Source organism: Homo sapiens, chromosome 12 (genome assembly GCF_000001405.40).
Source record: "Homo sapiens chromosome 12, GRCh38.p14 Primary Assembly".
Lineage (NCBI taxonomy): Eukaryota > Metazoa > Chordata > Mammalia > Primates > Hominidae > Homo > Homo sapiens.
Genome location: NC_000012.12, coordinates 110,731,743 through 110,746,836, shown reverse-complemented (window position 1 = coordinate 110,746,836; position 15,094 = coordinate 110,731,743). Strand labels below are relative to the sequence as shown.

The following is a 15,094-nucleotide window of genomic DNA, read 5'->3' as shown; positions in this document are numbered from 1 at the left end:
CCACTTCTGACACTCTTCTCCTACCTTTCACACTGTGCTCTAGCCACTCTGGCCTTTTTCCCATTCCTCCAACACTGGAAGATTGTTCCTGCCTCAGGGCCTTTGCACTTGGTGGTCCTTCTGTTGGGAATATTCTTCCCCTATGCCAATCCTTCCCATGACTTTCTCTTTTTCATCCTTCACATCTTGACTCAAATGTCAAATCCTCAGAGTCCTCCTATGTGGTCACATGACCCTTTCTAATTTTCTCACGAAATCGCCACTCTCTGAAATTATCCTCCTCAAATGGTTTATCTGTTCCCCTCTGTGTCTTTCTCTAGACTGGGAGCTCCATGAGGACAGGGACTAAGTCTGGCTTATTCACTGCTATGTCCCCAGCTTCTCACACAGTGCCTGACACCCAGTACGGCCTCGACAAACGTTGCCCAAAAGAATACAAGTGTCTGCCGGTAACACTACAGGATGCAGAGATAGAACTGTGGACGTTGTCAAAGAGCATTCACCCGTATTTTTTCCCCATGGTTCCCTCCTTTGTATAAAACCCCTGGAATATCCAGGGAGGTCTAGATTTGCAGGCAAACTTCATCACCAACACTCAACACTTCTTTCTTTTCTTTTTTTTTTTTTTTTGAGACGGAGTCTCATTCTGTCGCCCAGGCTGGAGTGCAGTGGCACGGTCTCAGCTCACTGCAACCTCCGCCTCCTGGGCTTAAGCGATTCTCATGCCTCAGCTTCTGGAGTAGCTGGGATTACAGGCACCCACCAGCACGCCCAGCTACTTTTTGTATTTTTAGTACAGATGGTGTTTCACTATATTGTCCAGGCTGGTCTCGAACTCCTGGCCTCAAATGATCCACCCACCTCGGCCTCCGAAAGTGCGTGAGCCACTGCGCCCAGCCACCAACACTTCTTCCAATCATCTCACCACAATCCTAATGCTCATTAAATTGGAAGGACGGAGAGAATAAAGTTCATCCCCAGCCTTCTAGAACAGAGTTCCAAATTGCTGGCCTAGGGCCAAATGTAACCCACAGATATGCTTTGTCTGCCTCACACTGTTTTAGAAGATTTTGAGTTCATGACCGACTTTTTAAAATTGGAACATTTAACATAAAAATCCATATGTTCAAGTTTTACCAAAAACTCAGAGGATCTGGCCACAAGTGGCCCCAGGGGACTGGAGCTGAGAAGTGGCCGCCCCCTTGGATGAAACGTGGGCTCAGTTTGCTCCAGTCCCTACCCAGAGGCTGAATTCTTTCGTATTATCAGCCAGGTCCCTTTAGGCACTGGGATCCCCCCTCAAAGCCTAAGTATCCTCAGAGACACTATTGAGTTTCCAATATTTGGCCACAGCCACTCTCTTCTAATCATCAGCTCCCCATCATCTTCAGCAGCCCCTAAGAAAGCTCTGTAGAGCCAGGAAAGACAGTTTGAAAAGTGCACTTTAATCCACTCTCCTCATTTGACAGATAGGCAAACTGAGGCCTAGAGAGGGGAAGGGACATTCCATTTATTAGGCTGTATCCTTTCTGACAGGATGCTTATATCAACTCATCTTTGGAAAGCCACTGGTGCTGATAATGGCAGAAAAAGGCGAATAGGGAATCAGTGCTTTCCTCCACCGGCTATTTGCTGGTTCCTGGGAGCTGTGAGGGCCCACCCTGGTGAGCTATGCCATGCTCAGGCTCAGAGCCAGCTAATCACTTAGGCATGTGCCAGCAGAACTGAACTCTGGAGGGGAGTTGCCCAGCAGAAAACAACCTGGGGACAGAGGCTCTCCCCATGTCCCAGCTCAGTCTGAAGTCCTCCTCCAGCCCTGATGATGTTGCAAGAGGTTAACACACCTGCCATTTTGCATGAGGAAAATTATGGCACTCGTATTGTGGGCAGAGACACAATTCAGTCATTCCACTGGGTTCCAAATTGATATGTGCCCAGTATGTGCCAGGGATGTGAACACTGCTGGGGGTTCACTGCCGGGTTTTACTGAATATGAACGAGGGCTGTGGTTTCAGGCTGTCCTGAGTTCCAGCCCTGACTCTGTAACTTCCTGGCTGTGTGACCTTCAGCAACCACCCTAGCCTCTCTGTGCCTCACTTTCTTCATCTGTAAATGGGGATGATAGGAATAGGACATAATTCCTAGGATTATCTTGGGGATTCAATGAGATCATTTTTTGGCACATACTAAGAAATGAACACAGTAGCATTTTTTTTCTTGTTTATTTTTCTCCACTGCACTTATCAGAAGCTGATATTTTTATTTGCATCTTTGCTTACCATCTGACTGACTAAATGACTCTCCATAGAAAAAAGCCTTGTCTGTCTTGATCACCCCTGCTTCCCTGTCTAGAACAATGCCTGGCACAGAGTGGGTACTCCATAAATATTTGTCTGCTGAATGAATTGCTGTCTTTCATATTTCTACCCTAAATGCCATTCCGATGATGCACCCTGCCCTGGAGTAGCCCAAAGTCCTGTGGACTCCAGCAAGAGCCCCCCCTGACCTCCATAGCCAGATGTTCACAGCAGCGCTGGGCACCAACTCCGAATGTCACCAACTGGGCTCATTGCCTTGGCCTGACAAATGGCACTTATGTGACTTCTGGTGGACAGAGCTGTAGCAGGGGAAAGTGAGTTAGTGCCTGAGGAAAGTGGATCGATAGGCTGAGTTCTGAAACTCAAGGGCCCTGCACCAGTAGCGAGGGGGCCCAAGTAAGGGGACATGGAGCCCGCACCCTGAGGACATTGCTTTGGAAGAGGATGCCTGGGTGGTGCAATTACCTCGTGGCATACTGAGATGGGGATTCGTGCATCCTGCACGCCTTGGGAAACAAAATGAATTTCTCGGAGAGAGGGGGCTTTGCAAAATGTAAAGCGCTGCAGGAAGCAACGTACATGGAAAGGTCAGGAAAGAGAGCCGATCTGTTTGCTGAGTGTGGGCTGTACTTCCAAACCCAGCCAAAGTCGACGCGCAGCCCCTGGAGGTGGCACAGTTTGGGGGCCCCTTGGATAGGAGTGCCCTCGGGGAGGCTGGGAAGCCAGAGAGGAATGGGCCAAAGTTTCTTCGGGTGTCTGCAGAACCCAGGACCGCCCGCGCAGCTTGCATCTTCTCTTCCCGCCCCCGGCCTGCACGCGTGAAATCTGCAAATTCCCCTTTTAACTGCTGCACGCGCTCGTTCAACTTTGCCCTGGCTAGAATCGGGATAACCGTCCCGATGATTACATAACTTTCCGAGTTCAGGGAAGATAAATCCAAGGGACAGAAATGATAAAATTTTCTTTGAGTATGGATTTTTTACCCCTAAAGTTACAGAAGTGCACAAAAAATATATATACAAATACCCATATACCCACCACTCACAATGAGTTAACTGTTACATTTTGACTTATCTGAAAGAGGGTTTTTTCTTTTTAGTTACCAAATAAACCTTTCTCTTGTCCCAAGTTCCAGTATATCTGAATCCAAAATAAGTCAACCTTCTTTTCTTTATTATTCTTTTCCATCCTCACCCCAGATTTATCTTAAAGGGTAAGTTCCAGGACCCCCGAAATCCCTCGGTGAGCTCCCACCTGTCCAGGTCTGCAAACATCTAGACTCAATGCACAAGATCCGGCGATGGCCGCAACCGGCGGTGTGCACAGCTGCATTTCCTCCCCCAGCCCCAACTCCCGCGTGCAACTTTGCAACTCTCGCTCGGGCCCGGCATTGGGGGCGGGCCTATTTACTCGGCCCGTTTGGCGGAAGGATCCCATGCGGGGACGCGGTTGCGCTCAGCCATCTGCGCCCCGCCCAGCGCCCGGGCCCCGCCCCCTCCAGCGCCCGGGCCCCGCCCCCTCCCGCGCCCCCTATGGCCCATAAAGAAGTCCCGGCCGGGCCGCTGCACTCCCCGCGCGCATCCGTGCGCCGCCCGAGGCTGTCTAAGGAGTCGGCGGCCATTTTGTTCTTCTCGTGGTTCCAGTGGGGAGAGAAGGAGGAAGTAGGGAGCGGGGTGGCAGGGGGGGGACCCGCCGCGGCTGCTGCCACCGCCGCCACCACCGCCTCTGCTCGTGGCGTGGGAAAGGAGGTGTGAGTCCCGGGCGCGAGCCGGCGGCGGCGCCGCTGCGGGAGGGTCGGCGGTGGGAAGGCGATGGCGGATTTAGATAAACTCAACATCGACAGCATTATCCAACGGCTGCTGGAAGGTAAGGGGGGCGGCGGGCGGCTGAAGGGGGAGGCGGGCCTGAGGGCGGCAGGCGGCCCCGGGGGCTCGAGGGAGGGGAGTTGGGAGGCCGGTTGGGCTTGCAGCACCGTGGGGAGTGAGCTCCTCGAGTTGGCCCACGGGCCGGGGACTGCAGCCGGAGGGAGGCCAGCCCGGGATTCCCAACTTGTCGCCAGCTGCGGACCCTCCAGGCTCCGCTCATTCATTGCACGAGGATGCAGGCTTCCTCCCGGCCGTGGAATTTGAAAACTCCGCTCCCCACCCCCACGTTTCCCGCCCCTACCCGTTTGCCCCCGCGCACTGGACGGGTCTTTGGAGCGATGGTTGGGGATCCCAGTCCAGCCTCCTGGACGACGTGTGCCGTGCTGTGCGAGATGGACTTTTCGGTGCTCGTCCTCTCGGAAGGCAGTTTGATGAGGGCATGAGTTCCGCCGGGTTTGGGGGCTCTTTTCCTGCTTGCTTTTATTTTTATTTTTCGTGGTTCTGGGGTCTTGGGGGGCCCATTTCTTGTTACTTGGTAACAAGCGTTCATGTCTCAAGAGGTGTGAGAACCTGTCTTCGCCTGCCCTCCAAATCCTTTTAAGTTGTTCTAATCTTGGAGAGGTCTCCGCGCTCTTTTCCTGAGCGTGCATCTGAAGAGGAAGCCAACGAGGCTGACGCTATCATTATCTTTCCAATGTGCCAGGCTCTGTCTTAAGCACTTTGCGTCCATGAATTATTACTGTAATCATAACTGACGCTTCTAAAGCGCTTACTGTGTGTCAGGCATTCTTTGAGCACTTAAGACAGATTTCATTTAATTCTCCCACCCATTGCAAGATATTTGCAATTTTTTTTGTTTTTGTTATTTTACAGAAGAAACTGAGATGAAGTCACTTAACCAAGGTCACACAGTTAGTGACAGTTGGATTTCAAATCCACATAGCCGGGAGCTAGAACCCTCTACAGACAACACTGTCACCTTATGTAGGAAGGAAGGTGGCCAGTGGTTAAGTAAAGGTTAATAGAAAGCTTTAAATTTCGGCTCATCTAAGACTTGTGAGGTGCCTGGCAATTGATTCATGTTGATGTGGGAGAGGGGCGAGGTTCAGCTTTTAAAGACGGAAGCTGAAATGAGCTGCTTTCAGATTCAAGGGCATGTCAACGGATGCTAACATCTTATCCAAGACTTTGTAAGAATTCAGTCATATCCCCTAACTTGGACACTTCATAATGGGAACTTGGCAGTTTCAACTGCTTTTTGCCTTTATACAGTCCTAAAATATTGTTGGACTATAAATGCTGTGAGTGGTGGAGTCGAGGGCATGAACAGTTGGACAGCTCTGGTGTTAGAATTTACAGATCTTTTAAAGTAAGTTATTAAAATGAAGCTCCTGAAAATATCTCGTCCTTTTCTTAATCTGTGCATTCTTTCCTTTTATGCTGTCTTTAAAAAAAAAACAACAAAAAAAACACTAAATGTCATTAAGGACCCCTGAAATGCTCTTGAAATGTTATTGCAGGTGAAAACCTTGTATTGTAGGTGAAAACCTTGTCATTCTTTTAATGCCAGGTATTTATATAAGAACCATACTTTTTCATACTAGTTAATATAGTTCTTTAATTTATTCGAGGCAGCAGTTGGTCAGAAACTGATTAAAATAGTTTGCTGTAAGAAAGGAACTTTTTGTTAAATATTTTCTTTCTAAATTTTAAAATTCTGCTTATCTCTGCAGGGATATGTGTGGCTTTATTTCTCTGAGGAAACAGGAAAAGTTGGAATTTGCATGGATTAGAAACATTAGAATTTTAAGATCATCTAAGGCTTGCTAATTTAAGTTCTGGTTTGCCCATAACTGCCTCTATTCATAAACAGCTTTTGTTAATTTTGATCTTTAAAATTGTAATAAGTACTTTGCCTGGTAAGTAATGATACATCTAAAATGAGATCATTGTTTCTTAATAGTTCCTCTTGTTATGTGGCACTTGAAAACCAGGTTTTCTTATATTTCATTTTTTGCTGAAATTAATAAAGCAGTGCATTTTAATGCCTTGGGAATAGGCTAACTGCAAAGTATACTTAAATTTCTTTTTTTCTCGTGGGTGTTAAATTGGCAGAGAAACAGTTGAAGATGATCCATTGAGGATATGTAGATATCTAAGTTAAATGATGTTGGTAATAAATTCTGTTTTACAATTTTTTATTTAAAAAAATTAAATTTAATAATTTAAAATAGAAATGAGAGTCTCACTGTGTTGCCCAGGCTGTTCTCAAACTCCTGGTTTCAAGCAGTCCTCGCACCTCGTCCTCCCCAGGTGCTGGGGTTATAGTCATGAGCCACCGTGCCCGGCCTAAATTTTATTCTTTTCATAATGCCCCCAAAACCTTTTTTTTCCCTAAATAAGATGTAAGTATATCTGAAAGTAGAGGGAATATGACTTGTGACTTTGGCCAGATTTTTTTACGTGTTTAGAATTGATCTTTTAAGCTTGCGAGCAGTATAACCTAGTTGAGAAGTAGCTGAGTAATAGTACTAAAAAGCTAACTGAAAAGTGAAGTCTTAAGAAAAACAGCATGTTGGTTTAGATCTTAGTCACTAACCTTTGCAGTTCTTTTCTTCTCTGAACTCTGAGTATTTCTGTAAGCGAGGCATCACCTCTGCAACCCACCATGGATGCTTTTATCCAAGCTCTGCCTTGCTGATGATAAAACTTAAGGTTGTTAACTCCTTAGTATAACTGATGTTAGTTATTTAAATAACTACACAGTAAAACGGCATTTTGAGAGAAAATAAGCCAGCTGTTGATTTGGTCTGATGTATTGAAGACAAGTGAGATTTGGGGCAGTTTTACTTTGTAAATGACCTCCTTCAAGGAGCCATGGTGGCTAGCATTTTTTTTGCATAGCAGGTGGTTGTAACTTACTTCACATCTTGGTTTGCAAGAAGCATCTTTGCTTTGAAGAAGGCCATTGTCAAAGTGCAAGACCATGTCAGGCTCTGCAGAATTGCCTGACTTGTTTTAGTGATTTAAATATGATCTCTGCCCTGGCTCACAGAAAGTGCTTACAGATTTAATCCTCTGATACATAAGGGTTGTTCTGAAGGTAGGGAGTGTTCAGATATTCTGAAACTCTAAGATTGTTTAAATAACCCATATGTTCATCTTTTTGATGCAGTATAAAACGTTCATATTCTGGTGTTTAGCCATCCCTGGTCCTAAAGATAATAAAGGACAAACATAATGGTTTAAAAAGGGGAAGGTTTCTTAATATGCTAACCAAAAAAAAAAACAAAAGTAATCTTTCCTAATGAACACCTGTAATTATTTATTTTTTTATTTTATTTTGGAGACAGAGTCTCACTCTGTCACCCAGGCTGGAGTGCAGTGGTGGGATCCTGGCTCACTGCAACCTCTGCCTCCCGGGTTCAAGCGATTTTGGTGTCTCAGCCCCCTGAGTAGCTGGGATTAACAGGCATGCACCACCACGCTCGGCCAAGTTTTTGTATTTTTAGTAGAGATGAGGCCAGGCTGGTTTTGAACTCGTGACCTCAAGTGGTCTGCCCGCCTCAGACTCCCAAAGTGCTGGGATTACAGGCATGAGCCACCGTGCCCAGCCTGTAATTATTTGTTTACAGAGCAGGTAATTTTTACACTCACATCCAAGTTGTCAGTTTCTAATTCCCTCATTGATAAGAACTCTGATGTGAGCCCTTGCCCTTCCTTTCCCATCAGTATGTTGGTCATATGCCCACTTCCTCTCCTCCTAGGCAAGGTGGGAAAGCTCTGTTGGAGACAGATGATCTGCAGCTTGCAGGAGTCCTTTTTTAAACCACAGCATTGAAAAAGGATTACTCTCCTTGTGCCCGCAGTGCCCTCTTGCCTGTCAGTAGCAGGAGGCAGCAGTGAAATCTGACAGAATTGTGTGTGACGTTGTGCTTGCGGGGGATGTGACACACAGGAGCGCTCTGCATTCTGAGCCTAGGGTGTTCCTCCTCATAACTGGGCAAATGGACATGCAGTTGTAGCCCAGCAGTGGTCAGCTGTAGAAATTAGTGAGGTGATTTGATGTCTTTGAAAGCACAGTCCTATTACAACCTGTAACCTGTTGTGCAGAATCACAGTACCAGTCAGCCCACTTGACTAGGTGAGGATTCCTGATGGTGAAGCAGGGAAATTATTGATGTTATGTGGACTTCACCATTTAACTTAATTTACAATTGAGGCCATTAGTTGACCTGAGAGATTAAAATATGAAGGAGATAATATTCTGGGTGTCAGTCGCTTTGTAGATAAAGAACTGGAAAGTCATTCAAGACCAAGAAGGAAGGATTTCATTTCCATGGAGCTTATGGAATTCCAGGATAGAGTTTGATATTTTAAGATCATACCTCTGTATCCAAAGCATCAAGAACAGATGATGTGTTTGTGGATCTTGGTGATTTGTCTGAAATCTCCAGCTTCCCCACTTCACTGGGGTTTACTGTCATCCCTCTTCTAGAAGGTAGTGGTCATCACCGACAGTAAAGCTTACAGCAAATGAAAACTCAAAATGTAGTCTACTCAGTGGTATATTACCGAAATGTGTTCTTAGACTGTGAAAATTAAAGTTTTTAATGGATTGGCTTTACTCGAGGTGTAGAAAACTCAAGATGCTTTATTGAGAACAGTAGACAGTGTTTTGCAGCCACATCCTATCTGCCTTGAAAAAAATGGTGTCACTTTTATTTTTTTTACTAGAGACTGGGTCTCACTCTGTCCCCAGGCTGGAGACCTGAACTCCTGGGTTCAAGCGATTCTTCCTCCTCATCCTCTTGGCTAGCCGGATCTATAGGCACACACCACCACACCTGGCTAATTTTTTTTTCTTTTTCTTTTTTTCTTAAAGACAGGGGTGTTGCCTAGGCTGTTCTTTAACTCCTGGCCACAAGCAGTCCTCCCACCTCAGCCTCCCAAAGTGCTGGGATTACAAGCGTGAACCACAGCTCCCTGCCTTGGTGTCACTTCTCAATGCCTGAAGTGTAACCCCATCTGTTAGGAAAATCAGGATGGGAGAGGGCAGGGTGTGGAAACAATTGTGATAATCAGAACATGGAAGTCTTTCTGCTGGTGACTTTGCAGAGAAACTTAAAGGGTTCTTTTTTCTTTTCTTTTCTTTTTTTTTTTTTTTTTTTTTTTTGAGTCTTTCTTTGTCACCCAGGCTGGAGTGCAGTGGCAGGATCTCGGCCCACTGCTGCCTCCACCACCCAGGTTCAAGCGATTTCTCCTGCCTCAGCCTCAGTTGTTGAGTAGCTGGGACTACAGGCATGTACCACCATGCCCTGCTAATTTTTGTATTTTTGGTAGAGATGGGGTTTTACCATGTTGGCCAGGCTGGTCTCAAACTCCTGACCTCAGCTGATCCACCCACCTTGGCCTCCCAAAGTGCTGGGATTACAGGCGTTAGACACCGCATCCGGCCCAAAGGATTCTTGATAACATTTTTGTGGTTTATACTTTTTGCAGAAAAGAACTCAGTCGTTTATGGGAATGCTTAATGTTGGAAGTATTTACTGTTTTTTGTTTTGGTTTGAGTCTTATTTTCCTAAATCTGTCAAATATCATGAGGCTATTGATTTCACTGAAATGAATATGATGTGGCATATTGTTAAAATTATCACCTACTTTTTAACAGGATTATTTTAAAACAGCAAAATCTTCGTTGGCTTATTTTTATACCACTTGTGCCTTTCTTAGGTTCTGAAACTTCATTAGAATTCAGCTAGGGCTTTTTTAGTATATGCTATTTCTTTAATATGTTTTTATTTAAACAATTAAGGGGCCTTTATGTGGCAAGGAAAATACTTTTTTATTCCTTATAAATAATCTCAAACTTGTCTTAAATTTCCTTCCATAGTTTCCATCTTTGCTTTGCTTTTTGCCAGCAGCTAACTTTCAAAAGTTAGTATTGCTTATGAGAAAGAGCTGGTGTTGTAAATAATCACCAATGCTATTTTATTTATTTATATTTTTTGAGACAGGATCTCACTCTGTGGCCCAGGCTGGAGTGCAGTGGCATGATCTCGGCTCAATGCAGCATCTGTCTCCCGGGCTCAAGTGATCCTCCCATCTTAGCCTCCCGAGTAGCTGGGACTACAGGCGCACGCCACCATGTCCAGCTATATTTTGTATTTTTGGTAGAGACTCAATTTCACCATGTTGCCCAGGCTAGTCTCTAACTCCTGAGCTCAAGTGATCCTCCCACCTCGGCCTCCCAAAGTGCTGGGATTATAGGCCCAAGCCACCACATCTGGCTGCTATTCTTTTATAATTCAAATTTTTACCAGTTTGTTTTCAATAAAAATGTGTGGAAGTTTTTATTATTGCTCGTGTCAGTGATTTGCCAGAAAAATAGATCAGATACATTTCTACAGAGCAACCTTCGCTTTTAACAGTAATAATACGTTTTCCTGAATCTCCCTTTCTAGCCAGATAAAGAAATATTAATACTTCTACTGAAAAGTCACATCCTTAGGTCTAAGTTGGTGTTGCTTTTTTGTTGTTGTTTGTTTGTTTGTTTTGAGACGGAGTTTGTTTGTTTGTTTGTTTGTTTTGAGACAAAGTCTTATTCTTGTTCCCCAGGCTGGAGTGTGATGATGCGATCTGGGCTCACTGCAACCTGCCCCGTGGGTTCCAGCGATTCTCCTGCCTCAGCCTCCCGAGTAGCTGGGATTACAGGTGCCTGCCACCACGCCTGGCTAATTTTTGTATTTTTAGTAGAGACGGGGTTTCACCATGTTGGCCAGGCTGGTCTCGAACTCCTTACCTCAGGTGATCCGCCCGCTTCGGACTCCTAAAGTGCTGGGATTACTGGCATGAGCCACCGTGCCTGGCCGAGACGGAGTTTCTTTCTTGTTGCCCAGGATGGAGTGCAGTGGCACAATCTCGGCTCACTGCAACTTCCACCTCCCAGGTTCAAGTGATTCTCGTGCCTCAGCCTCCTGTGTAGCTGGGGTTACAGGCGTGCACCACCATGCCCAGCAAATTTTTGTATTTTTAGTAGAGATGGGGTTTCACCATGTTGGCCAGGCTGGTCTCGAACTCCTAACCTCAGGTCATCCACCCATCTCGGCCTCCCAAAGTGTTGGGATTACAGGCATGAGCCACCGTGCCCAACCTTCTCCTTTGGTTTTGAAGTTCAATGTAGAACAGATTCTTAATTGGGAATTAAGAATGCACCACTAGATGTAGCATCGCGGCCTCGTGTCCTTAAGCTCTGTGACCTTGGACTAAGTCACTGTAAAATGGGAGATGACAGTGCCTGACTTCCTAGGATCGTTGACAGGATTGAATGGCAATATAAAGCCCTTAGTACAGTGCCTAGTGGATAAGTGCTCAGTAAATGTTAACTACAACGAGTAAATAATTCTGTTTGATGGACATTGAAAATAGTGAAGTGGGCCAGGCACGGTGGCGCACGCCTATAATCCCAGCTACTTGGGAGGCTGAGGCAGGAGAATCACTTGAACCCAGGAGGTGGAGGTTGCAGTGAGCCACGATCGCATCACTGCACTCCAGCCTGGCAACAGAGTGAGACTCCATCTCAAAAAAAGAAAGAAAAAAATAGTGAAGTGAATTTGTATGCTTTTGGCTGATATGGCAACTTTTTTTTTTTTTTTTTTTTTCTTGAGATGGAGTCTCACTCTGTCGCCCAGGCTGGAGTGCAGTTGCACGATCTCAGCTCACTGCAACCTCCACCTCCCGGGTTCAAGCGATTCTTCTGCCTCAGCCTCCGCAGTAACCAGCCACCACGCCCAGCCTGATATGACAACTTTTAAGAACTCTCCAGTGTTCACTTGGACTGCCAAGCCCCATTTGAAATCTCTGTTAGACAATTCAACGTGAAATTTAAGAGTAATTCTAGATTTTCATACTTTGAAAAATACTCCAGTAAAGCCTGGTAAGCAAGTGGCCCTATTGTTTTATAATTTTATAGTGCAGAAACAGGCTTTTTGCTCATCAAAAGTATATAGTCTGGGCTGGGCACGGTGGCTCACACCTGTAATCCTGGCACTTTGGGCGCCGAGGCAGTGGATCACCTGAGGTCGGGAGTTCGAGACCAGCCTGACCAATATGGAGAAACCCCATCTGTACTAAAAGTATAAAATTAGCTGGATGTGGTGGCGCATGCCTGTAATCCCAGGTACTCGGGAGGCTGAGGCAGGATAATTGCTTGAACCCGGGAGACGGAGGTTGCAGTGAGCCGAGATCGTGCCATTGCACTCCAGCCTGGGCAACAAGAGTGAAACTCCGTCTCTAAATAAATAAATATATAGTCTGGAATATATGTTTAATTCTAATGCCACCAGTCAACACTACTTAAAGACTTATCCAGATTTCAGTCATGCAACAAATTTTGAGCACCTGCTGTGTGCTGGCTATGGCTGGTGTACACTACAGAGCAGGACTGCTGCTGTGGGTTTACATTCTACCAGTGGGTCCAGATGAGCCGGCAGAAGCAAACTGGCAAGTATAAAACAAATACAAGCATGGTTGAGGGGGTGTGGTGGGTAGTGACCTGATGTTGAGAGAGCCTTTCAAAAAGCATGCAGCAAGCTTGTGAGGGGAGAGGAGATGGATGAGAGAAGCTTTTCTCCAGGGTGAAGTGTGGTATCTGAGCAGAGGCCTGAAGTCTGAGCAGTTGTATGATAACTGATGGAAGATGGTTTTGGCAGTTTCTATCTTTATATAACTTTTTTCTTTCTGCTAATTTTAGGGAATTTAAGAAGCTTTCAGACCATGTTTGTTGATGTTTTTCATAAGCACCATTCTTTAAATACAAATCTTTATTTTCTCTGGAAAAGCTGCATCTAATCTTAATATTAAGAGTAATTTTTAAGGCCAGGTGCAGTGGCTCATGCCTGTAATCCCGGCACTTGGGGGGCCAGAGCAAGAGGATCACTTGAGCCTGGAAGGTTGAGGCTGCAGTAAGCCATGATCATGCCACTGCACTCCAGCCTGGGCACCAGGCTTCTTCAAAAAAGAAGAATTTTTAAATTGTTGTTAGTATTGCTTTTGCTTTTTACTGATCTCTGAATGTCCCCACCCAGAGGACAAACAGAAACAGAATAAAGGAGTTAAAACAAATATAAACTATGTTCAAAGGTGACAGTGGAGAGCGTCCAAAGCCAAAAAAAAAAATTGTTAGCAACATTGATTTCATCTGATGGCATTGACTAACTGCAATAGCATTCATAAAACAAAGCTTGCCATTATATGGTATGAGCTATTTATCGCAGAAATACTCTCCTAGAAGACTTAGAGTCAGCTATTCATTCATAAGTGTGGGACTCTGCTGAAAAAAATTCACGTTGAAACCAGAAGCTTCTAGGATTTCCTTCCTAGCCAAAAATAAAGCTTCCTGCTGGGCAGTCTGCCCAAGTTTTTGGTTAACTTATGGTGAAATCACTAATGATTGGCATTTTCTGGCCAATGAAGTGGGGATCCCATCTTTCACCGGGAGTATTTCCTGAGTTCTAACTCTGTATGTGTGTCTAGAGAGAAAAAAAATTACTTACGAAAAAAACATTTTTGTTGCTCAGTTGCTGTTTTATTAAATATGCATCTGTTTCATATCTTTCCTCGAAGACTATTATTACTATGCTTTTATTGCTTCTTGTTGTATAATATTTTTATCAGAACGAGACTTAGTTACATATTTTGGGGTCCAAAAGTGAACTTTATAACTGTAAAATTAAGGTACATTTAGCAGTTCCGTGCTACTTTATCTGTATCTAATGACTATCCAGTCTGTTACAACTGGAACCAAAACAAAATTTCTTTCCCACAACTACCTACGTGCTGACAAGTGAGTTCTGTTGCAAAGTTTGTACTTTGATAGAAGAACCCTAAGTGCTCTGGTGGTGTGGATGCCCCATGCTGTGCAATGATTTCTTTCTCCCATTATTATCTTATCTGTTCAAATTATTAGGGAACGTGCTTTCTTACAGTATAGCACATGACTGACATCCTTTGCCCTATATAGACATGAGCATAAACACAAATGCAGGCCCAGAAAATGCATGGCAAAATAAGTACAATGAACCAACATTTTCTTAATGAAATGAAAACAACACTAACATTTTTTCATAGGTAAATTAAATCAGAGATCCTCAGGAGGAGATACCCATGGTCCTCTGGAAAACACTGATGGGGGAGGGTTCTGAGTATTTCCAATCCTGTTTCTTTTCTTTTCTTTTCTTTCCTTTTCTTTTTTTTTTTTGAGACGGAGTCTCGCTGTGTTGCCAGGCTGGAGTGCAGTGGCGCGATCTTGGCTCACTGCAACCTCCGCCTCCCGGGTGCAGGCGATTCTCCTGAGTAGCTGGGATTACAGGTGCACGCCATGTTGGCGAGGATGGTCTGGATCTCTTGACCTCATCATGATCTGCCCGCCTCACCCTCCCAAAGTGCTGGGATTACAAGCGTGAGCCATTGCATCTGGCCTGCAGTCCTGTTTCTAACAGCATTCGCACAGACAGGATGGCTCCTTTTTTGGAATACTATAAAAGAAGTCTTACTTGGTATCGAAGATGCAATTAAGTCTTGTCTAAGATTTTAAGATTCTAATTAGACATTAAAACCATGTTTATTATAAGTGTCCTGAAAATGAAGCCACTCAGAAAGCTAGTTAAACCATGTTTTTGCCCCTTTATCTAAATCTCGTATTGTATTTTGTATTTTGGCTTCATTGGACTAATTGCGATTTTTCTCTTGCAGTGAGAGGGTCCAAGCCTGGTAAGAATGTCCAGCTTCAGGAGAATGAAATCAGAGGACTGTGCTTAAAGTCTCGTGAAATCTTTCTCAGTCAGCCTATCCTACTAGAACTTGAAGCACCACTCAAAATATGTGGTAAGTTTGGGGCACACAGGTTATCTT

The 15,094-nt window shown here is 44.9% G+C and overlaps 1 protein-coding gene across 5 annotated transcripts in view, besides 4 other annotated features; it reads left to right on the top strand.

Annotated features, from left to right (window-relative positions):
* Window positions 2,367–2,951: an enhancer, noted in NCBI's record as "H3K27ac-H3K4me1 hESC enhancer chr12:111181691-111182275 (GRCh37/hg19 assembly coordinates)". NCBI's record gives its function as "activates a minimal SCP1, AML or CMV promoter by ChIP-STARR-seq in naive H9 embryonic stem cells {active_cell/tissue: H9 hESC(naive)}" and the evidence as "EXISTENCE:reporter gene assay evidence [ECO:0000049][PMID:30033119]".
* Window positions 3,713–4,221: an enhancer, noted in NCBI's record as "H3K27ac hESC enhancer chr12:111180421-111180929 (GRCh37/hg19 assembly coordinates)". NCBI's record gives its function as "activates a minimal SCP1, AML or CMV promoter by ChIP-STARR-seq in primed H9 embryonic stem cells {active_cell/tissue: H9 hESC(primed)}" and the evidence as "EXISTENCE:reporter gene assay evidence [ECO:0000049][PMID:30033119]".
* Window positions 3,716–3,855: a silencer, noted in NCBI's record as "silent region_4863". NCBI's record gives its function as "represses an Ori minimal core promoter by ATAC-STARR-seq in GM12878 lymphoblastoid cells {active_cell/tissue: GM12878}" and the evidence as "EXISTENCE:reporter gene assay evidence [ECO:0000049][PMID:35858748]".
* PPP1CC (protein phosphatase 1 catalytic subunit gamma) overlaps window positions 3,946–15,094 on the top strand; it is a 34,516-nt gene continuing 23,367 nt past the window's right edge. For all 5 annotated transcript variants that reach the window (XR_007063094.1, XM_011538505.4, XM_011538504.4 and 2 more), the window contains exons 1-2: window positions 3,946–4,184; window positions 14,936–15,067. Coding sequence is in view for 4 of the 5 variants with exons in the window: in XM_011538505.4 (XP_011536807.1) it covers window positions 4,130–4,184; window positions 14,936–15,067 (187 nt within the window). In the remaining variant the exon portion in view is untranslated. The remainder of the gene's footprint in view (window positions 4,185–14,935; window positions 15,068–15,094) is intronic.
* Window positions 4,016–4,075: a silencer, noted in NCBI's record as "silent region_4862". NCBI's record gives its function as "represses an Ori minimal core promoter by ATAC-STARR-seq in GM12878 lymphoblastoid cells {active_cell/tissue: GM12878}" and the evidence as "EXISTENCE:reporter gene assay evidence [ECO:0000049][PMID:35858748]".